Below are 24,103 nucleotides of genomic sequence, written 5' to 3' on the forward strand. Positions count from 1 at the left end.
TGCCTGGCAGGCACTGGAACTTCCCTGGATGTTCCCTCCTGCACCAGCACCATTGCAACATATAGACCCAAGTGTGATTTATTCTGGCTTGGTGTGTATGCTTTTCCTTGTGTCAAACTGCTGTTCTTTTGACAATTCAGGAAACTGTTTTGTTTACTATAACTTTGAAAACAAAAATTGTAACAAAAACATTCCCATGACTGTGCTGTAGTTGGAGAATTTATTACAACATATTTACACCTTCCTTTTCCCTCTCATTTTCAGGAGCTGTTTCAGGACTCCTCTTCCTCCCCTAATAACTTCAGTCTTTCCTATATCATAATAAAGCTACATTTTCTTCTGAAAACTGGCAGGTTCTCCCTTCCTGACACAAGCAGCCGAAGGGAGGGTGGCAGGAGGAAGAAGGGCAGCCAGGGGACACCGGCCTGCATGGGGGCGTCCCTGGTCCGAGTCAGTGGCCACAGCTGCAGCCTGGCTCTGTGCCCAAAGTTTTGTCTGGGTGTCAGGAAGGCCACGCACTCACATTTCATCTCTTTCCATGACTTGCTCGCTGTTCGTTGACCCTTGTTCCTTCTTTTTTGAGCAGGAAGGTGTCATCAAGGACTCTGTCCTTGGATGTGCACGAAAGTCACCTGAGGCCCTTGACGTGCAGGAATTCTTGCCAGCCTTGGACTGCAAGCCCCAGGCTATGGTACAGCAATGTGCATTTTGTAGCAAGCTCTCTGTGTGATCGGAGAGTCACAAATGGAAAGAAATAATATAATCAGTGGAGAGAAGATGTGCACAGCTATTCAAGTGCACAGTTCTGTGACATACCACAAGGTGGGGGTGGACCTGTATGACGTCTTCTCCTAGCAGCCCCCACATACTTCCCCTGCCCTCAGTGGGCCAGGAGTCTCCTGCTTGGCCTCATCTTTGATTCTGAAGCCTCCGAGATCTGAATACTTGTGCCCCGTCCTTTTTCAGATGCCTCTGTGGCAAACTTTTGTTATTTGACTTTCTTTGCATGAAAACACCGAGAACACCAGAGAATGCCCCAGGGTTTCAGACTTAGTCCTGTCTCTTCATATTAAATAGAACCATTATTGTGTTCCTCTGGGGGAAGCTTCACTCTGCCTGGGTCCCAAGACCTTCCAACCAGCAAAGCTCCATTTCTCCAGGACAGGCGCAGGATAACTTTGTGACTGAGACATTCGGTGCAATACTGAACATCGTCCACTTTCACACCTCCACTCTCAGAACTACACCTTCTGGCTGTTGGGGAGTCAGCACTGTATACTGGTTTCCAGTAGAAAGCATAACATTTATCTTGTAAGACAAACCATCGCTTCAGCATAACTGAGCGATCGTAAGCTCAGTTGCTTCCAGGTGGCGGCTGACATAGTGAGAACAGTTAGTTCCCTGGTCAGGGGCTACTGCTGCATGCCCCTCACTGTGAATGGGGTACCTTGGTCAGAAGCAACGCCGTGTGGTCTGCTGTGATGGCAACAGGCAGGGCTGGCGAGTCTATGTCCAGGTAGGGGCTCCCTGCAGTGAAGGCCGATCTCAGCCTTCTCCACAGTGTGGGCAGCCTGCCCACAGGTGGCCAACCGGTCCTCGTGGGAAACAGTGCCAGCCCAGGGATCGACACCAAGTCTCTCATCGGCAGATGGGGCACTCGGCAGTGGTGTCGGCCTGGTCAGCCTGGTCAGGGCATGAGCAGGATGCTGAGACTCTTGTGTCTCATTCCTGTCTGATGGCCATTTTGTCCGTGGGTCTATCCGGCAGGCATGGTGGCCAGGGAAAGGAGCTGACTCCATCAACCCGGCGTGCCGTTTTCCCCACCTCAGGATCAAAAGCATCCTCTGCAAGGATTCTCTTTGGTGGGAACATGGGAATGTGGATGAAACTATCTTCACAGTCAGAGCTGCTGAGGCAATGACTGCAGGGCACCTCTGTCCTCTGGGAAGCCCAGCTGGAAGGCTCTTGGCAGTGGTGCCTGCTGTGGCTGAGACAGGGGCTAGGCTGTAGGACGAGGCTTCCGGGAGAGGGGTCGTGCGGCAGGCAGGGCCGCGAAGCCTCCGGGTGCCATGTTGGCATAGTGGACTAGGACACTCAGGGCGCTGTTGGGCCAGGCTCCGGGGTGCAGACTGCCTGCACTGCAACAATGAGGCCGGGAAGAGGCAGCAGTGTTCACAGCTATTGACCCCCTTGAGCCAGCCCTCTACATCCTCATCACTGCACGGGCTCAGCGTCTCTGGCCTGGCTTGCCCAGGTTCTCTGATGTGAATCCTTATAGCATCAGGGCTTTCAGTGCCCTGGTCCCCTGCGTGGTCACCTGGAGGCCTGCAGTGCCCCTCTCCTCCTCGGACTCAGGTTGAAGCCAGGTCCATCTGGGCTTGGGACTTGGGCCCTGGAGGAGGGGCTCTGACCCACGGGTGGGGTCACGGGCCCCAGGGCATGCTGCTGGTTGGCTGGGGCTGTGGGAACTCCATGCTCAGCCTTCCCTCCAGAGGCCTTGATGGGACCAAGTCCCCCCATTGAATGGGATTTCTCAAGGCCCACAAGCCAAAAATATAAAATAAAAATAAAATAGCAGTAAAAACTAAGGTCCAGCAGCCATCTGGGGCTGCAAGGCAGCTGGGCGGGTGCTGCCTGGGCTCCTTCCACTCCAAGTTCTTCTACCAAGGGGAGTCACAGGCGGATGCCACCTTGCTGCTGGGGTGTCTCTTGACCTGCCACTTCTCTGTTATAAGCCCGGGCAGGGCCTGGTGTCGGGGTCCCAGTGGGCTTGCTGGGCAGGGTCTGTCGTTTTGTTCCAGGGCGGTCCATGGAAGATGTTGAAGTGACAGAGTCCCAGGAGCCATGTTCAAAAGGGCAGCACAGGAAACATGGACCCCCGACATGCAGGTCTGTGTGGAGCTGTGGCATAGAGTTCCCGGACAAGTGTTTCCATGTAATACAAAGCCTGACCTCACCGGGGGACAGGCTGACCTCATCTTGAGCTTCTGGGGCCCTCAAAGAGTGGCTTGCTGCCCTGGGTTCTCAGGAAGCCCCCTTGTGCTGCTGGGCCTCAGCCTCGGCCTTCGGGACAGCCCTGTCAGGCCAGGCTGGGGGAGAACAAGGCTTTTGTCCCAGGGGGACTGATGGCATGAGCTCCTGGAGCTGAGCTGGTGGGGTGGGGAGGGCCAGTCTGTCCCCCTCACAGAGGGGCCCAATGCCAGGGGTCACCCTCGAGGACTCTCACTGCATCTTGGCTGAAAAAAAGAAACATCTTCACCGAGCCCATAGGGTCCCTTCAGGGCGGGCCCCACAGACCTGGGCCTCTGGAGTCCTCGGGGTCCCTGTGTGGCCCCCTGGCCTGACACTGAGGATGCCCGAGAAGCCTTGCAGGCTGCTGATCCCAGGGTGAGGGCTGTGTGCAGCTTGGGGTGGGGGAGCTTTCAGGGAACCTCAGGTCACTCCTAGAATGGCCCCCTGGGTTCAGGCTGGCTCAGGGCTTCCTGCCTCCTGCCCTCACCTCAGGGCTGTTCGGCAGCCCCAATTCAGGACTCAGGTGGAAGAAACCTTCACTGTCACCCAGCACCTCGCATGGGGGCCTGTCTCCACAGCAGGTGAGAAGTGAATGGGCATGGGTTCCCCTCTGTCCTCCAGGCCATCCACCCCATGCCAGGGCTGCAGCAATCCCACACCCTGCTGAACTCTTGCTTCTGGCTCTGGGTCAGGGCTTTCCCCGTCCCCTCTGCCCAAATCCTCTCTGGGTCAGGGACACTGATTCTCTTGTCTCCCTGGCTTGTTGTCTTGACACCCTTGGAGGGGCACTCAAGAATGAGGGGTTCCTGCTGCTCTCTGAGGCTACTTGAAGGTGGGGGTGGAGGCTTCCATAGCTGGGTCTGACTGCCCCAGTGTCCCTCAGGGCCCTTCAAGGAGGAGAGGGGGACAATGTGGAAAGTGGGGGAGGGGTGTTGGGGGTTCCTGCCCATGACCCCTGCCTGTCCACACAGCATGTCCAGCACACACACACACGCGCTCAGCGCCTGCCCTGAGGAGCGGCAGACCCATTTGACTTTCTTAGAGTAGAGGAGGAAGAGGAGGAAGAAGAGGTGCAGGAGGAAGGCCAGGTAGGAGGGCTGGTGGGGCCAGGGCACTCCCCACCATTGACTGCCCCAAAGGGTGACTCGGAAGGGGACCTTATGCTGGAGCCCACCTCGGGGTGGCAGGCCCCAGTGTTTCCCTGTGAGTTCCTTCATGGAGGTTTGAAGGTTCCTGAGGACGGTGTTGTCCTCCAGGACCCGTCTCTGAGAGAGTTGCTCCTGAAACTCCCAGACGGTGCTCCAGGAAAGCTTCATGAGGTGCCCTAGGGACAGGGTGGCCATCAGGCAAGGGGGGGTTCCCTGGTGGGGGAGATCTGTGCCTGTACCCCATTTCTACCAGGCCCACCTCCCACTGGGTGGTGCCTGGTCCTTCTTGGCCACCCCGGGGTCCAGCTGTGCACAGGAGGCAACAGCTGGGGAAGGCCAGGCAGAGAAATGCTCACCACACTCCTGACTTTCATCTGGGTCATGTGGGGAGTGGTCTCAGTGTCATCATGTCTTGCCCAGCCCACCAGGCCAGACCCCCCATCAGGACAGAGCAGAGAGTCATAGGGACAGTGTGAGGATGCTTCCGCATCTGACCAAGTATACAGTGTTTGTATGTGATTAAAGTTAAGTGGTTATCCACTGAAAACTGATGACTATGAAGTGTAAGAACTTTTATGCAAGCCTCATGGTAACCATAAAGAAAAACTTTCGGCCAGGCGTGGTGGCTCATGCCTGTAGTCCCAGCACGTTGGGAGGCCAAGGCAGGTGGATCACGAGGTCAGGAGTTCAAGACCAGCCTGGCCAAGATGGTTAAACCCTGTCTCTACTAAAAATACAAAAATTAACTGGGCGTGGTGGCGGGCACCTGTAATCCCAGCTACTCAGGAGGCTGAGGCAGAGAATTGCTTGAACCCACAAGGCAGATGTTGCAGTGAGCCGAGATTGTACCACTCCACTTCAGCCTGGGTGACAGAGCGAGACTTTGCCTCAAAAAAAAAAAAAAAAAAAAAAAACCTTTCACTAGATACAAAAAAGAAAGAGAAATCATTCTATATATATCACTAAAAACAAAAAATCAAATCACAAAGGAAGATAGAAAGCAGGAAGTGAGGGAAAAAAATTGCTGAACAGAACATCATTAACCAAGTGGCAATAGTAAGTCTTAAGTATAAATAATTACTTTGCATGCAAATAGATCAAATGCATCAACAGATTGTCCAAAAAGATAGAAAACGAAGGTCCAATGATATGCTGTCAACAACACTCACCTTAGACTTAGTAGAAGGAAATAAATAAAAAGATTAGAGCAAAAATAAATAAAGCAAAAATAAAGTTGTATACTTTAAATACACACAAGGTTTGTCAACTATACCTCAATAAAGCTGTAAAAAGAAAAAGAAAAAATGGTGCAAAATTTTATTCGTGCAAGAAGAATAAGTTCTAGATACCTATTATACAACATAGGTCCTACAGTAAATTTTACAGTACTTTATACTTAAAAAACTTGCAACTGGGTGCGGTGGCTCACGCCTGTAATCCCAGCACTTTGGGAGGCTGAGGCAGGCAGATCATGAGGTCAAGAGATTGAGATCATCCTCGCCAACATGGTGAAACCCCATCTCTACTAAAGATACAAAAAATTAGCTGGGCGTGGTGGCGCATGCCTGTAGTCCCAGCTACTCAGGAGGCAGAGGCAGGAGAATCATTTGAACCGAGGAGGCGGAGGCTGCAGTGAGCCAAGATCGCACCACTGCACTCTAGGCTGGTGACAGAGCAAGACTCTGTCTCAAAAAAAAAAACAAAAACAAACTTGCCTAGAGGGTGTATTTTATGTTGTGTTTTTATCACATAAAATAATAATAAATAAGAGCACCAGGGAAAATTTTGGAGTTATTGGATATGTTTACAGAATAGACTGTGTTGATGGTTTTACAGATACATACTTATCTCTAAAACTATCCAACTTACATATTAAATATTTACTGCTTTTTGTAAGTCAATCCTTCCATAAACTCATTTTGTAAAAGGCAGATAAGTAACAGAAGGAAAAATAGAAACAAAGAACAGGTGCATGAATAGAACACGGTTAACAAATATGGTTTATTATTAATCCAATTATGCCAATAACTAATCAATGGTCTAAATTCATCTCTTAAAAGACAGATGCAGAGTGAATCAAAGAACAAAATGCAACTGTATGGCATCTTCAAGAAACACTCTTTAAATATAAATACACATATAGTTTAAAAGTCAAGGTATACAGAAAGATACACTATACTAAGACTAATAAAAATAAAAGCTTGTTTTGAGACAGAGGGGACTTTAGAACAAGGGAATTCATCAGGGATAAACAGGAACATTTGTTAATTTTAAAAGGGTCAATTTTTCAATCACGGATATCAATGTACACATATATGCCTCAATGTATATGCCCAATGACAGAGCATCAAAACACAAGGCAAAAACTGATAGAACTGCAAAGAGAACTAGATACATCCAGTATTTTAGTTGAAGATTTTAATACCTTCGATCAGTAATAGGCAGACATGGCAGACAGAAAAATCAGGACTATCCTAGTTGAACTCCCCCAGCATGGTTAATCAACTGAATATAATAGATGTCTATAGAATACTTCCACCCAGCAACAGAATAAGGGAAGGTTTACCAGGATACACCACATTCTAGGCCATAAAATATACATTGAACAATGCAAAAAAATTAGAAATCACAAAACATATGTTCTATGTTTTCATACCCAGTGGAATCAAACTAGAAATCAGTTAACAGAAAGATCTGGAAAATCCCAAGATACATGGAGATTTGAAACATATGCTTGTAAGTAAAGTATGGGTCAAAGAAGACAACACAAGATAAATTAAAATTAGAAATAGTGTGAGGGTCTCTCATAGGGGGGCATATTGTGATGGTAAGACAGAAATCAGTGGCATCCTTGAAACGGTTGCTGGGAACTGAACTGCACCATCAGCAGAGAGGGCATAGTAGGTCCATTGGTGGCTGACCTATTAGAGGAGATACTGCGAGTGAGGTGCAGCTGCAGACTTGAGGCAGACTCACCAATGGTGAGGGAAGAGCAGCGAATGAGTCATAACCAGGGTCTGACCGTAAGGTGGCAGGATGTCAGCAAAGGCATGACTGGTGAGCTAAAAGGCCGGCTACTGGGTGGTGTCTGAAATGACCCTGTGATAAAAACTGTCCATGACCTGAGTGCCGAGTAATTGGTGAATAGGCCTGCAGAAGACACAATTATGTGAGGGACTTTGGGAAACCTGGGACAGCAAAAGCCACGGCACACTGAGGCTTGGAAAAATGGTTCCATGGGGATGTAAAAGGAGTTGAAAGGTCGGGGTGGTAGTAGGCTTGGAGTTGCTGCATTGTGAGCAATGGCAGGCTAGAATGGGACAGGACCAAGAGGACTCAGAACTAAGCAGTAAGGTCTAAACACACTGTGTGTGCTGGAGGTGATGTCATAGGCACAAAAGCTTGATCCTGGAGGTGGCCCAATCAACCCTAAGTTTTGGATCCTTTCCATCCTGAATGGCTGCGAAGCACAACTGAGATGCCAAGTGTTTCTAGGAGGCACAGGCTGTAGAAACAGTGATAAGGGTGGCCTAAGAGTTAAACTCAATGGGGCCTGAGGCTGCCTCCATACCTTGAGTCTCTACGTATGGAGCTGCAACATAACTTAGCATGGAAAGAAACCTGAAGCCTAACTTAAGAGTGTATTTTTGTAACAAATAGCTGAGTCCCAACCAACAAAAGCAGCTGAGATTCAGCCAATCATAGGCTGCCAACATATCAAATCATGCCTAATAAATGCAAATGCAAAGCCATAACTGGTCTAGCTGTTTGTGGACCTCACTTATATTTTCCGTCTATAAATGCTCCCTCCTGCACAAGCTTTGGAGCAGAGCACTGACCTCTTCTGGTCCTGAAGGCTGCCTGATTTGTGAATAATTCTCTACTCAATTAAAATCTGTGAAATTTAATTTGTCTAAAGTTTTAAATACATCAGTAAAGGTCTTGCTGGATAGGAATGTAGTCATGGTTGGTGGGTCAGTGTGTGGCCATCCTGGGTGCACGACAGGGATGGTTACAATGAGAGAGTCTTCCAGCAGGTGGAAAAATCAGTATGTGATCTGGAAAGGCATGAACTAGTCTCCAGGGGGTACAAGGCATAGAAGCTTCATGGGCATGAGGTAGTTCCTGGAAGATTGGAAAGATCTGAGTGGGCTCAAGGACTAGATGAGTGTCACGAAAGCGCTAGCCTGTAAAGTTGTCACAGCAATAGAGGGGTCCAAAGAAAAGCTAAGAAAAAAAGGTGAGGAGGTGTTTATGGAAGCTGATCCAGAAGGGAAGCTTGCTATGTGTTAGAAAAAAGCAGACTTCTTACAAGCGAAAGTGGCCTGTGACACAGAAGGCTGCCTGTGGTCAATCAGGCAGTGATATTAGTCAGCAGCATTGTCACATAGCAAGATGGCAGAGTCCACGGGATAGGAGTCAATTAGCAGTGAAGTCCCAGCTTCCACTTCTCATGAGGAAAGATGCGAGTGCCAGAGAGAAGGTGTCATGAGGCCGATGTTGCAACTAATTGTTGGAATTCTGGCAATCTAGCAGTGGAGGCACTGCATGGTGAAAAATCAAAGTGAGAAAAGGGGGTCAAATCTGGAGTGACTCTTGTAGGCAGCACAGTCAGAATCAGTCAGTGTAATGACAATGGGACCCTGAGTCAGCCCAGTCCAGAAGCAGCATAAGAAGTTGGGTCCCCAGGAAGTGAACTGGGTCCAGTGGATGGCCTCTGCCTGAGGCACCATTCAAGAGTTCCTAGTTGGGGCTGTAAGTGGAAGCACAGCTCACAGGCTTGCTGACAGTAGTAGTAGTAGCAGTGGTAGGAACAGAAGTCAGGGCACTCCTTCCAACACTGGAGATGCTAATCAAATGGCATTTTAACAGTATGAGCAGGGTCCTGTCCTCACTATCAGGTGTATTTTTGGTACAAATGACCCCGGGGGTGCTTATTGGCACTGGAGGGGCAGTTTCAGGTCTGAGGTTTGTGGCAGACAACGTGGAGTTAGTAGTAAGCAGGCCATACAGTAGAGGACATCAACAGGGAGGCTCCCAGTCCAGAGCATTGCATGGCAGTCATCCTCAGGAGGTTTGCCCAGGATATAGAGATGAGGCCCTGAATGAGAAGCACTAACATAAAGCAAAAGCAGCAGTGGCAATAACCAGGATGGGGTATGTCTGTCTGTAGGCCAGAAATGTGATTCAGCCCAAGTTACCTTATCGCTAGAAACCTAAAGGGGGTGATGTGCTTCCCAGGGCATCTGCCAGGACATTTTTCTAGTCTGCCAGCTGTCAGCTCACTCTCATGCAGGGTTGATTCTGCAGTCGGGTTCCAGAACCCCCAGTGGGACAGCGAGGTGGTGGTGGCTGCCATGTCTCAAAGTGGGATCAAATACAGGGTGGTTGGTGGCACACCCATCCCTATAACAGTAACTGGACAGGGAGAGGTGAGGAGACCCTGAGATGCCAATGCCCATGGTGGGTGGCCCTGAGGTATGGATAGCATCCCTGAGAAGACAGGTAAGTGGAAAACATGATTCAAGGATTCCTTTCCTAGGGCCAGGACAAGGGCTGTGGTAGCATCAAAGTCCAGTTAACCCACAATGGGGTGGCAGGTTGGCCTAAAGAACCATGCAGAAAGACTGAAAGGCGGGTTTGCCTCCTGGGTGTGGAGATGAGTAGTGGCAGCAGTGGGCAGCTGTTAATATGGGCCAGCACCAGGGGCAGACATTAGTGCCAAGAAGGAGTCAAGTGGCCAATGTGTTTACAAAGAAGGGATGTTTTTCCAACAGCCCACACATTCTCTCCATTAGCCCACTGCAGTCTTCTGGTATGGAAGGTGAAATGCCCAGGTGAATGCCATTCCCCAGTGCCCACTGTTGGGTGACCTCAATTGTAGAATGGGTACCTTGGTTGGACTGAATGACATGGGGGTTCCACAGAGGGGTCAGGACTGAGGTAGGAAGAAGACCTTCTGGGCTGTCAACATCAACAGAAAAGCAAGGAGCAGGCTAGAGTTAGTGTCAACAATAGTGAGCATAGCTGGTGAGGCCTGCTCCTTGCTGGAGTAGGCCAATAAAATCGACTTGCCACTTGGCATGTGGGTAGTCACCTCTCCAAATGTGACTAAGGGAGAAAAAAGAGTGATGTCTCATCAGCAGAGCAGCCAGTCTTGGACGGCCCAAGCAAATGAGCTGGATGGGACAAGGAAGCCCCATATGTAAATCCAAGTTAACAGTCAGGCCTAGCTTAGATGTCCCAAAGTCAGGTGTGCCCAGGAGGTCCAGCCGGTCCAAGTACCACAGTCTCAGCTATAAGGGTAGAGATGTGGGTAAGGCAGTCTGCCTTTTGGTTATATTGAGAGGCAGCATCTTGGTGACTGCTGTGAGCTGACACATGGTGAACAAGTGGCACAATTATTAAGTATCAGCAATGTACCCCCAAAGGGAAGCAACCCCACCCCAGTGCCTGATCATGGTCATCCAGTGTGATGCCACCCACAGCCATCAGCAAAGGCCCCAGAATTGGTGAAGATGTGGATTTCAGGATGGCCTTGGATGGTAGAATCAGGACAATGGCTGTAGTTTCTGCCCACTGAGCTGAATGACCCTTCCTCTGCAGCTGGAAGGGGGTGTCTGAAGCAGAAGGACGGCTAGTAGCTACCCAGATGGCACCTCTGCATGCCCCATCAGTGAAGCAGGCATACCCCTGCTGCAACAATGTGATGGCCCCCCAGCTGGTGGAAGGGCCCCAACTAACCAAAGGCTGAGTGGTAGCTGTTTATTGGAGATCTTCCTCAGGCACACTGGAGGAGCAGAGACTGAAATCCTCATGAGGCACTGAAACTCCTAAGCGTTCGGGCTTGGCTCAGTTCCGTGACTACCATTTCTACTTGGCAAGAAATGGTCGGTGGTGGTGCCCAGTTTGCAAAGATGAGGATCCCAAATCCAAGGCACAATGGGGATCTATTTTTAACGTGATGGGCTTGGATCCTGTCAGTGTCCATCTCAGAGAGGGCTAGGTAAGCTGCAGCCAGCTGTCCCAAGAGAGTCAAACACATTAAACACAGGATTTATGCCAAAAGCCCACTGGAAGAAGAGACCTTGATTGGGTAATCTAAAGCCTCTATGTGTCAAAAAGCAATGTTCTTGAAACCTAAAGCCTACATCTGCAAATCCTTCCTCCAGAGGACCAATAGAAGAGCCTCCTGGACTGCCTGCTGGTCAACCCTTAAAGCTTCTTCTGGAGAAGGGCCTGAGTGAAGGTGGATGTCTCATAGGTGACCTGAAAAATTGAACTTACTGGAGGTTTGGCATATGTTTTCTCCAGAAGCCAAAAATACCAGCGATGCCCTGGGTCTTCTTGGTGGAGATGGGAAACCCTGAGGGTGACGAGCCTGAGGCTGACTGGTTGTAGATTTTGTCTGCCTTCCTTACTCTAAATATAGCCTCACAATTTGGACTCGGTGGGGAAAGGATGGGAGCAGGGTGAGGGATAAGAGACTACTACACGTTGGGTACAGTATAGACTCTTCAGGCGATGGGTGCACCAAAATCTCAGAAATCACCACTAAAGAACTTATTCATGTAACCAAACACCACCTGTTCCCCAAAAACCTACTAAAATTTTTAAAAAGTAACAATAGCTTAACGATGTTGAAAAGAATATAAGAATATAATTTGTCTTTCCTGATATAATTACATTTTCAATTTTATTAATTTAAGGGAGTATATTTGGCAATTCAGAAAGATCAAGGGATGAGTACTCTTTAGATTTTTAAAAGGAAACATCAATTAGAATCATTTTGTTTTGCCATAAATAATGTCATATGCTATTTAGTATGCTGGAAATTTTTCTTCTATTGTTTGACAAAAATAAAAGATTTATTCCAAAAACTAATTTTCTCAACATCAAAATTTATAATATGAGTAAATTATAATTTTAAAATTTTCCCTTAGAAATTCATGCATTCACAATGTTGATCTCCAGAACAAGGATTGAATACATTAGTCAGACGTCAGTTTCTTGATGTTTTGAATAATATAGTCTGGCAATTTCTTCTGTTTCTTAGCCTTCTGTATATAATACTTGGATATTGTCCTTATTATTGAAATGCAAATTTATTGAAAGGATACTAGCATGTCCACTGAGATTTATAGTGTATCAGTTTTGGAAAAATCCCATCCCATTATATGAAACTGTACTGAAATAAGAGCAAAACATTTGCAAACCATATAGCTTCAAGTAATTAGTGACTTGTTCAGGCCTGCCCCTTAAATTTTTGTTTTTGGAAGAAATCAATGAGTACAGACTGTTGAATTTGGATACTCCACATTTAAACAATGCCAGTTTAAATTCCATTCTTCTTATAAAACTAACATTTTACATCCAAAAAAATAAGTAAATATAGCCCCACAATTTGATGGAAATGGCAGGCTGTTGTATCATGTGGGACGATGGCTCATCCCCATTGAGTTGTGTGGTTAGTTGTCAATATGAGGGCCCATTGAACCTCTCCCTCTTTGTTATCGGGCAGAAGGACATTATCCACATAGTGCCACAAGTGGACATCAGGTGGCAGTCAGAGGGTAGCTAGATCTAGTCAATGCAACCTTGAGCCAGCAGAGGATTGTTGAGGTAGTCCATCAGATGCCTCCTAACGGTGTACTGTCAGCCTTCAAATCTGAAGGTGAACTGCACCTGATCTTCTTCACAATAGACACAATAGAACATGTTTGCCAGGTCAGTAACAAAACCAAGAGGGAGAAGCATTCTGAACTTCTTCCAAGACAATGACAATGCTGGGTAAGGGGACTCTAAAAGGAAGTACAGCCTTGTTGAGGTTGCGGTTTTTAGCAATGAGCCTTCATTCCTTTCCCTGGCCTTGAGAAAGGGCCATTGGTGAGTTAAAAGGTGAGATGGTGGGTTTCAGAACACAAGCTCTATTAACTGGGCAGATCCCCTCTGTGCCTTCCTTGGGTGATATTATGAGGTACTGACCACCTGGAGGAGTCTGGGGAGCTGTAAAGGTTCTCAGTAGGCATGACCTACTTCCGTGGAAAGAACTTGGTGGGGTGAGACCTTCAGTTAGGGAACTGAAGTGCCAGAACGTCCAGGCCAATGATAGGAAATGGTCACTGAGAGACGGGCAGGAGAAACACTGGTGCTCATGGGAGAAGGATGAGTCCTACCTTAACAGTGAGCATGGCAGGCATCCTAAGGGCTCATCTTCCTCTCAGTCCATCAACGGGCACAGGAAGGCTGGTGCACTGCATGGGCAAAGCAGAGATAAGAATGACCCATTATCCAGTGTGTAATAAGACTATACACGTCTACAGGTTTGACCACCAGACTTGGATGTGATAATCTGATTGACACAGGAAAAAAAGCATTTGGCTAAATCCATCATATGATTAAAACCCTAACCAAACTAGAAATTGAAGAGTACTTCCACAATCTGGTCAAGGGCATCTAAGAAAACCTACAATAAACATCCTAAACTAAGTTAGTGGGTAAAGAATGTTTACTCCATAAGATTGGGAACAATACATGAGTAATCACTTTGACCACTTCCATCAACATTCTACTGAAGGATTTTGCTCAAGAAATAATGCTAGGAAAAAAATCAGCCAATGGCTCTTCAAAACACTTAACGTGGAAAGGACACCCTATTCACTAAGTGGTTCTGGGAATAGTGGCTGACCATATGCATAAGAACGAAACTGGACCCCTCTCACTCACCTGTACAAAAATTAACTCAAGATGGATTAAAGGCCTAAATGTAAGACCTAAAACTATAAAGATCCTGGGAGAAAACCTGGGAAAACTCTTCCAGACACGGGAATGCTCATACATTGTTGGTGGGAATGTCAATTAGTTCAACTTCTATGGAAAAAGTAGGGAGGTATCTCAAAGAACTAAAAGTACAACTACCTTTCCACCCAGCAATCCCACTACTGGGTATCTACCCAAAGGGAAAGAAATCATTATATAAAAAGGCACTGCACTCCCATGTTTATCGCAGCATAACTTACAATAGCAAGGTCATGGAACCAAGGTAAGTATCCACCAACGGTTCATTAAATAAAGAAAATGTGGTGCATATACACCACAAAGTACTAGGCAGTCATAAAAAAGAACAAAATCATGTCCTTTGCAGTAACACAGATGCAGCTGAAGGTCATTATCCTACGTGAATTAATGCAGAAACAGCCAAATATTGCATATTCTCGTGTATCAAGTGGGAACAATGGGTACACATGGACATGAAGATGGAGAGAATATACTCTGGGGACTCAAAAAGTTGGGGGGAAGAGTTGAAAACGTACCTACTGGGTACAACCTCCAATATTTTTGGGTGATGGGTATGCTAGAAGTTCAACCCCCCCATTGTGCATGTGATATACATATAACAAACAAGCACATGTACCTTCTGAATCTAAAATAAAATAGAAAAAGAAAAAAGCCAAAGAAAAACATCCCGGGAATCCAGGGAGCAGCGGCTACTGCCTCCACTGCTCACTGCAGCCCGCAGGTTCCACGCCGGCAGCTCCTGCCTGCGGGCAGTGGAGCTGCGGAGAATGGCGGGATGGGTCTAGGTGCCAGGGCCAGAGCCCAGGAGGGGCGCTGGGTGGGGGCCTGGTCGGCCTCTGCCTTGCACCGGAGCAGGGGTGCCTGGTGAAACAGGCAACCTGATGCTCTCTGGGCCCTGCCCACGTTCCCCTTCCATCCACCCTCCTTTGCATCTTTCTGTGCCTGGGGCCCCCATAGAAAGCGGTCACATCCAGACTCACCAGGCCTGAGATGCTGGAGGATGGAGAAGCGCTTGCCACGGGAAAATTCCTCCAGGAACACATGAACAAAACTTCGCCTGCACCTGGGACATCCTTCTGTACGGCTGGCCTACGAGGCAAGTGTTCTGCACATGCTCCGTAGCTAACTCCAATGCAGAGGAGCACATGAGCCCAACCTCCACGGCAGGTGCAGATCTTTGCCTCCCTTTTATAATGTCTGTATTCAAATGACATATCCTGGAAGCCTCTTTCTGATAGGATGAGAGCAGACTCTGTACTACAACACAGATTGGATAAGTCTCCAACTCTGATTAGTTAAGATTATCCAGTCAGAGCAGGAGACTATTATCCAATAAGAGTTGTCAAAAAAAGTTCCTTCTCACCCAATCAGAACCAAGCTTCCAAGATACAGCGGTTGAGTACAGCCACTGTAAAAGGGAGGCGAAGGCCCATTCTGCCATTTTCTCTTCGTGGAGGTTGGGCTCGCGTGCTGCTCTGCGCTGTGGTCGTCATGGACCGGAAGCGTGTGCGGCGCGCCTGCCTTGAGGCCAGCAGCAGGGAAGGGTGTTCCCAGGTGCAGAGGAAGTGTCCTTCACGTGTTCCTGGAGGACTTTCGGTTAGCAAGCACTTCTCCATTCTCCCAACGTCTCGGGCCTGGTGAGTCTGGATGTGAGCGCATCCCACGGGGCCCAAGGCACAGAGAGAGAGAGAGGAACGGGGTGGAGGGAGGGAAGCGTGTGCAGGGGCCAGGAGCGCCAGGGTTCGGGCTTCTCGGCCCGCCCTCCTGCTGCTGGCGCTGTCACCTCCCTGTGGTCCTGCCTTCTGGGTCCCTGAGGGCCTCCCGTCATCTGGAACTGGAAATAAGTTAGTGAAGCCACGGTTTGTGAATATTTATTGGCCTTTGCGTCTTTGTCTTCATTTTCAGTGCTGGTTTTTCTGTTGGGTTATTTGTGTTCTTACGTTGATTTGAAGAATTTAAAAAGGTATTCTATAAATTAATCCTTTATGGGGTCATTTCTAGTGCAGATAGTTGTTTCTTGTTTTAGTCTGGTCGTTGTACCTTAATTTTATTTCACATTTCTTTCTTGCTAAAATCAATAAGAATCTAATTGATTTTATAGATTGATTTTGTATCGTGTTACCTGGCTTAATTCACATATTCATAGCCATCATTTTTGGATTGTGGTGGGTTTTTCATGTACTTATGTACCTGTAGTTATGTACTTATGTATTTAAATACTTACGTACTTAAATACTTATGTACTTAGTGTCAGCCACATATAGTAACAGCTATATTGCTTAAACGTTGGTTCTTACACCTTTATTTTTCTTTATTTTCTTCTTTTATTGTCCCGATCACACCTCCTGAACACGGTGTGTCTGGTTCTGATTCCAGGGAAAAGGTTTCAGTGATCCTGTATTCCTTATGTAGTTTGCTATAATTTCATTTTAGACAAACTTAATCAGATTAAGGAAGCTGCCTTCTTTTACATACGCTGAGTTATTTATGACTAATTGTTGAATTTGAATAAATGCTTTTTTAACATAAACTGTAAATCATATGTTTTTCTCCTATTTTTCTGAAAATAGGATATTTTACATGAACTATTTTTGGATGTTAACCAATCCTGCATTTTTTAGTATATCCCACTTGGTAACCATGTGTTACATTTCCATATGTGGTTTAATTCATATGATTTTTTTTTTTAGAATATTTGTATTTCTGTTAATGAAAGAGAGGGCCTATATTTTTTTTTCTAATGTCGTCTTCAGATTGTGGTGTCAACGTAATGCTGGCTTCACAAAACAAACTGAAAAATATTTCCTGTATTTCTTCTCTTTGGAAGAGTCTGAGAAATTTAGGTGTTTTCTGCCTTAAATATTTGGAATATTTCTTTAGGTATGGAATTTTCCATGTGGAACAGTATTTTTGTTGGCTGGTTTGACTTCTAATAATTCAAATCCTTTGGTATATGTAGGAGTTTTCTTGTTTTATGTTATTTCTGTGTCCATTTTAGTAAGTTTATTTTTATTTTTATTTTTATTTCTTGGGGGACAGAGTCTCGCTCTGTCTCCCAGGCTAGAGTGCGGTGGCGCGATCTCAGCTCACTGCAACTTCCGCCTCCTGGAATCAAGCAATTCTCCAGCCTCAGCCTCCTGAGTAGCTGGAATTACAGGTGCGTGCCACCACGCCCGGCTAATTTTTGTGTTTCTAGTAGACAGGGGGTTTCACTATGTTGGCCAGGCTGGTCTCGAACTCCTGACCTCGTGATCCACCTGCCTCAGCTTCCCAAAGTGCTGGGATTACAGGTGTGAGCCACAGTGCCCAGCTGTATTTTTCAGTAGAGACGGGTTTTCAGCATGTTGGCCAGGCTGGTCTCGAACTCCTGGCCTCAGGTGATCCACCTTCCTCGACCTCCCAAAGTGCTGGGATTACAGGCGTGAGCCCCCATGTCCGGCCTAGGAAGTTTATTTTTCAATGTGATGTTATTTGAATTTCTGTTGTCAAACTTGTAGTCCTAAGTATTTCACAGAACCCTCCTAGTGTCTTAATATACTGCTCTGTAGAGCAGGCTTCTCTTTTGATTCCCGATACTGGTTTTTTGTGTCTTTTCTCTTTGCCTTAGTTAGTTTCACTAGTGGTTTCTTAAGTGTATTAATATTTATAAACCAACGTTTTTTTTTTTTTGAGACGGAGTCTCACTCTGTCACCCATGCTGGAATGCAGTGGTGCAATCTCGGCTCACCGCAAGCTCCGCCTCCCAGGTTCAGGCCATTCTCCTGCCTCAGCCTCCCGAGTAGCTGGGACTACAGGCGCCCGCAACCCTGCCCGGCTAATTTTTTGTATTTTTTAGTAGAGACGGGGTTTCACTGTGTTAGCCAGGATGGTCTTGATCTCCTGACCTCGTGATCCGCCCACCTCGGCCTCTCAAAGTGCTGGGATTACAGGCATGAGCTACCGCGCCCGACCCTGTAAACCAACTTTTATCCTGGATTTGTTTCTGTTGCATTTTTTTCCTATTTCATTGATGTCTGCTCTTTATTACTTTAACGCTGCATTCTTTCATTTTGATCGTTTTTAATTCTTGAGAAGGGAGTTTATGTGATTGATTGTCAATCTTGTTCTCTATTCTAACAATTTCCTTTGAGGCGTAAATTTCTCTCTAAGCAGGGATTTATCTGGCAGCCCACATTTTCTGTCAGGTGTTTCCAAACCCTGTGTCTGCAGCCGCGTTGACCTCCCAGTGTCTCCACCCTGTATCGCCTACAGCCATGTCAGGCCTTGTGTGTCTCCATCCTTGTGCCTGAAGCCTGTATCTTCTCACCAGTATCACCATCCCGTAATGACTGAAGCCCACGTCTGCCCTTGTGTATTGTCACCTGGTCTGTCCTCTGCCTGCACTTTATGCCCCCTGTCAGAAGTCTCCATTTCTTGCTCCTGCAGCCCGTGCCAGCTGTGTGAGTCTCCATCCTGTGTGCTTGCAGCACATTGCTTGCCTTGAATGTTGCCATCTCCTTAGCCTTCAGGCAGTAGCAGTCCTCCAGTGCCTCAATCCCTGTGTTTGCAGCCCATTCTGATGTTTTTGTCTGTCGGTCCCCTGAGCTTCTGCCCATGCCAGCTTATGTTTGCTACATTCTCTGTCCCCCTAATCCATGTCCACAGTCAGTGTTTTCATCCATGCTTTTTGGGCCATGTCTGCACTTGTGTGTCTCCTTCCCCTGTGCCTTCAGCCCATTTCTGTCCTTTTTCTGGATCATTTCTCCCAGGAGACTATGCCCAAAACTCCTATCCCCAGTGTTTGTACCTGCAGCCAGTCTCTTTCGTGGAGTACCTCCGTCTGTTGTTACTGCAGCAGAGGCCTGTCATTGAGTGTGCCTGCTTCCCATGCCTGTCTTCCTGTGTCTCCAGCCCTTGTCCATGCAGTCCACATTAGGACTCTTGTGACTCCACCCTTCAGCCTACAGCCACATCTACCTTCGGGTGTCTTTATCTCTGTGCCCCCTGCCCACGCCAACCTTCACCTACTCCTCTGTCCTGCACCTGTACCTATGTCTGTCCCTGGTGTGCCTCTCTGCCATGCAGCTGTAGCCAGTGAGCTCCCTTTTTGTCTGGATCCCCTGTGACTGTAGCCCAGGTCTTCTCTCCTGTGACTGCAGCCCATGTCTGCCCTTGAATGTCCCCATCCTCTGTGCTTGTCACCCGTCGGCCAGGCCTAGCATGTTTCCACTCTGTGCCTACACCCATGTCTGCCTGCAGGGTCTCCATTCATGGTGCCATAGTTTGGTTCCCGGTCCCTATCCTCCTGGGGTGGATTCTGGCATTGTGTTGGGAGGGAGAAGGTGACCCATGAAAGGGAAGCCTGGAACGACGTAATGGGCAAGGAGGCTGCCATTCAGCAGGCTGCACAGTGGCAGAGAAGACATGGACAGTCAGAATCCTCCCTGCATCGGGGCACTCACGTGGGGCTGTGCCTGATGTGGGGAGTAAGGGGAAGCTGGAGCAGGAGGTCTGGAGCCACCTGGCCCTCTTGGGCCTGAGACCTCCCCACTGCAGGGGCTCCATCACTTCCCTGGTGGTCCTGCCTCCTGGGATCCTGCCCTGCAGTGTTTCTGCAGGGATCCTGTCACCTGGAACTTGCAGTGGCGGGTTTTGTGTGAGGTAGAGTTTAGCAAACGTTTATCGGCTTCTATGCCTTACTTTTCTTCATATGCTTTGTTCATTTTGTGCGTGTTTTTGTAGGGTCCTTTTTTTAATATTGATTTGAAGGATTTATCTTAAATCTGCAAATTGATCCTTTATTGGCTCATTTTTGTCATAGATACTTGTTCTCTAGTTTGATCATTATTTTCTACTGGTTTCATACTAGTATATAGTAATCTGGTTGATAACAATAATGTATCCAGTAAGTTATTAATTGTAACAGTTTTGGGGTTTTCAGGGATTGTCTAGGCATGTAATAGTGTCATATACACATATGACAAATTTTTTGGTTTAAAAATTAATCCTAATACCTTTCTGTTTCTTACTGTATTGTTTCTCCACTACAATGCTGATTAAAGAGTGATAGCAGGCATCTTTATCTTGTCCTGCACTGGTGGAAAAAGCTTCCCATAATTCTCTGTTAATTATGTTATATGTTATTGGCTAGTATTAGACTTTATCAGATTTCATCAAATTAAGGAAGTTGCTTTTTTTTTTTTTTCTTTGAGATGGAATCTCGCTCTTGTCGCCCAGGCTGGAGTACAATGGCTCGATCTTAGCTCACTGCAACTTCCACCTCCCAGGTTCAAGCTATTCTCCTGCCTCAGCTTCCCGAGTAGCTGGGATTACAGGCACCCACCACCATGCCTGGCTAATTTTTGTATTTTTAGTAGAGACGGGGACTCACCATGTTGGCCAGGCTGGTCTTGAATTCGTGACCTCAGGTGATCCCCCTGCCTCTCCTCCCAAAATGCTGGGATTACAGGCATGAGCCACCATGCCCGGCTGGAAGTTGCCTTCTTTTTTTTATTATTTTTAATTTTTTTGAGACAGAGTTTTGCTCTTGTTACCCAGGCTGGAGTGCAATGGCACAACCTCGGCTCACCGCAACCTCTGCCTCCCGGGTTCAAGCAGTTCTCCTGCCTCAGCCTCCCGAGTAGCTGGGATTACAGGCATGTGCCACAACGCCTAGCTAATTTTGTATTTTTAGTAGAGACCCGGTTTCTCCATGTTGGTCAGGCTGGTCTCTAACTCCCAACCTCAGATGATCTGCCCGCCTCGGCCTCCCAAAGTGCTGGGATTACAGGTGTGAGCCACTGTGCCTGGCCCATCCTCTTTTTATGTTTTACTCAAGTTTTTTTGTGTGTGTTTGTGGCTCAGTTTTAAATTTTATTAAATGCTTTAAAAAACTTTTCAGCTGAATGATCTTACTATTTTCTCCTGTATTTTTCTGCTAATGGGATGACTTACATGATTTATTTTGAATGGTAAGGACCTTGCATTTTGGTGTATATTCCATTTAGTATTGATCTAGTATGTTTTCATAGGTGGCTTCATTCATATAATATTTTGCTTAGAATATTTGTAGCTCTGTTTATTTATTTATTTATTTATTTTTATTTTTTTTTTTGAGATGGACTCTTGCTCTGTTGCCCAGGCTGGAGTGCAGTGGTGAGATCTTGGCTCACTGCAAGCTCCGCCTCCCGGGTTCACGCCATTCTCCTGCCTCAGCCTCCCAAGTAGCTGGGACTACAGGCGGCCACCACCATGCCCGGGTAATTTTTTTTTTTTGTATTTTTAGTAGAGATGAGGTTTCACGTGTTAGCCAATATGATCTCGATCTCCTGACCTTGTGATCCACCCACTTCAGCCTCCCAAAGTGTTGGGATTACAGGCGTGAGCCACCGCGCCCGGCCCCAGCTCTGTTTATTAAAAAGGAGATACACACTGTTTATGAAAGAGGTGACATAATTTTATTCATTTGTGTTCCATAATGTGTCCTGGTCCAATTGTGTCCTCAATGTAATGCCAGCTACACAAAAAATTTTTTAAATATTATCTTTATTTTCATTTTAGTGTTTTTCTTTGTATGGACTATTCCATAATTATGAGCTGGGAGTTTTACTTCTGGAACATTTTTGTTTGTTGGTTTGATTTTTTTTTCCAAGAATTTATTCAATTTGTTTAGTAGACTAGGAGTTTTTCTATTTCATGTTATGTTTGGGTCAGTTTGGGTAAGTTGGTTTTTAAATGTGGTGCATTTTGTTCTCTGTTGAATTTTTAGACCCTCATATTTCACAAAGTCCTCTTAAGTTCTTGTTAAGGTCCACAGGCTCAGTGAAGAATGTGTCTGTGTTGATTTCTGATATTGATGGTTTGTGTTAACTTCTCTTTTTCCTAATCACATTGACTAATGGTTTATTGATGTTATTTGTTGATTTGTTTTTGTTGTGCTTTATTTTTTATTTATTGATGTCTGCTGTTATGTTTTTTATTGCCTTTATTCGGTATACTTCCAGTTTGATTGTTCCTTAGCTTTGATCCCTGAGAAGGGAGCTGAGATGATTGATTTTCAGTCTGTCTTTTCTGACATCCTCACTTAGGGTGTATGTTTCCACTAAGCTCTGATCTAAGCATCTCCTGTATGCACTCAGCTGTTTCCAACCCCTGTGCCTGCAGCACTGTCTGTCTCCCAATGTCTTCATCCCTGTGTCCCTGCACACATGCCATGCTTTGTGCATCTCCATCCCAGTGCCTGATCTGCAGGTTCTCTCCATGTCTGCCCTTGTGTGTTGTCAGGTTTTGCCGTCCTCTCAGCCTGCAGTACAGATCTTGCCTAGATTGTCTCCTTCCCCTGCGCCTGCCTCCCATGCCAGTCTTCATTTGTCTTTGGTCCCTCTGCATGTAGCCCATGTCTTCCCTCATTTGTATCCATTCCTTGTCCATGTGGCCCATGTCAGGATACCTGGGTCTTCACTCATCACCTAGAGGTCCATATCCATCCTCAAGTGTCTTCATTCCCCAGCTGCCCTGTGCCTGCAGGCATATCTGTCCTCAAGTGCTGCCATACCATGTGCCTGTGGTCAGTGTCTTCCTTTTGTATCTGAAATCCTTGTGGCTGCAGTGCTGCCTTCTCATGTGTCTGTCCCCATTTCCTCTGCTGCACCCTAAAGGTCTCATGTGTCTCCATCACCTGTTCCTGCCTTGGGTTACAAGTGACACAGTTTGGTTGTGTGTTCACTGAAGGATGATTTGATTCCTTCCAGGTTTTCGTCATTGTGAATAAAGCTGCTGTGTGTATTTTCTTATTGGTTTGTGTGTGGATGTGTTTTCACACCAGTTGGGTAGATGTGTAGGGGCACGGTTGCTGCACACTATGTGATGCTGCAGTTTCCTTTGCAATAACATGCCGTGCTATCTTGTGAAGTGGCTATGCCATTATGCAGTCTCCCCAGTAATGAAGGAGAGTTCCTGTTCTGTATCCTCGCCAAGGATTGGTAGTGCTGGCTTTTGCTTGTTTGTTGTTTATAGAACTGTCCTAATCGATGTATAGGCTGTCTATCTCATTGCTGTTTGAATTTGCTTTCCGTAGCGTACAGTGCATTACTTTTTTCTCCTAATTCCCTAGTGTTCACCATGTCTTTATATGCTGATTTTCCATCAGAATATTTACTATTGGGAGGTATTGCTACATATATTTGTCCATTTGTTAAATGTAGTTTATTTTCTTACTTTCGAATTTTGCAAGTTCTTGGTATATTTTGCATGCAAGTTCTTCTTCAGATAGGTGTTTTGTAAATACTTTCTTTAAAGATAAGTCTGGCAAGGATCCCCTCTCTCCCTACTCCTATTTAACATAGCATTGGAAGTACTGGCCAGGGCAATCAGGCAAAACAAAGAAATAAAGGGTATTCAAATAGCAAGAGAGGAAGTCAGATTGTCTCTGTTTGCAGATGACATGATTCTGTATTTAGAAAACCCCATCATCTCAGCCCCAAAACTCCCTAAGCTGATAAGCAACTTCAGCAAAGTCTCAGGATACAAAATCAATGTGTAGCAATCACAGGCATTCCTGTACACCAGTAATAGACAAGCGGACAGCCAAATCATGAATGGACTCCCATTCACAATTGCTACAAAGAGAATAAAATACCCAGGAATACAACTTACAAGGGACTTGAAGGACCTCCTCAACGAGAACTACAAACCACTGCTCGAGGAAATAAGAGAAGACACAAGCAAATGGAAAAACATTCCATCCTCATAGATAGGAAGAATCAATATCGTGAAACTGGTCATACTTAGGTCATAAATTCAAAGTAATTTATGGATTCAGTGCTATGCCCATCAAACTACCATTGCCATTCTTCACGGTATTAGAAAAAAACTACTTTAAATTTCATATGGAACCAAAAAAGAGCCTGTATAGCCAAGACAGTCCTAAGCAAAAACAACAAAGCCAGAGGCATCATGCTACCTGACTTCAAACTATACTACGAGGCTACAGTAGCCAAAACAGCATGATACTGGTACCAAAACAGAGGTATAGACGAATGGAACAGAACAGAGACCTCAGAAATAACAAGACACATCTACAACCATCTGATCTTCAACAAACTTGGCAAAAACAAGCAATGGGGAAAGGATTCCCTCTGTAATAAATGGTGCTGGGAAAACTGGCT

General features: G+C 46.4%; 1 pseudogene, besides 2 other annotated features; it reads right to left on the reverse strand.

Annotated features, from left to right (window-relative positions):
* Positions 1,583-2,247: an enhancer, noted in NCBI's record as "H3K27ac-H3K4me1 hESC enhancer chr17:16783154-16783818 (GRCh37/hg19 assembly coordinates)". NCBI's record gives its function as "activates a minimal SCP1, AML or CMV promoter by ChIP-STARR-seq in primed H9 embryonic stem cells {active_cell/tissue: H9 hESC(primed)}" and the evidence as "EXISTENCE:reporter gene assay evidence [ECO:0000049][PMID:30033119]".
* On the reverse strand, positions 2,000-4,355 carry LOC101929105 (uncharacterized; annotated as a pseudogene).
* Positions 4,406-4,905: an enhancer, noted in NCBI's record as "H3K4me1 hESC enhancer chr17:16785977-16786476 (GRCh37/hg19 assembly coordinates)". NCBI's record gives its function as "activates a minimal SCP1, AML or CMV promoter by ChIP-STARR-seq in primed H9 embryonic stem cells {active_cell/tissue: H9 hESC(primed)}" and the evidence as "EXISTENCE:reporter gene assay evidence [ECO:0000049][PMID:30033119]".

Source organism: Homo sapiens, chromosome 17 (genome assembly GCF_000001405.40).
Source record: "Homo sapiens chromosome 17, GRCh38.p14 Primary Assembly".
Lineage (NCBI taxonomy): Eukaryota > Metazoa > Chordata > Mammalia > Primates > Hominidae > Homo > Homo sapiens.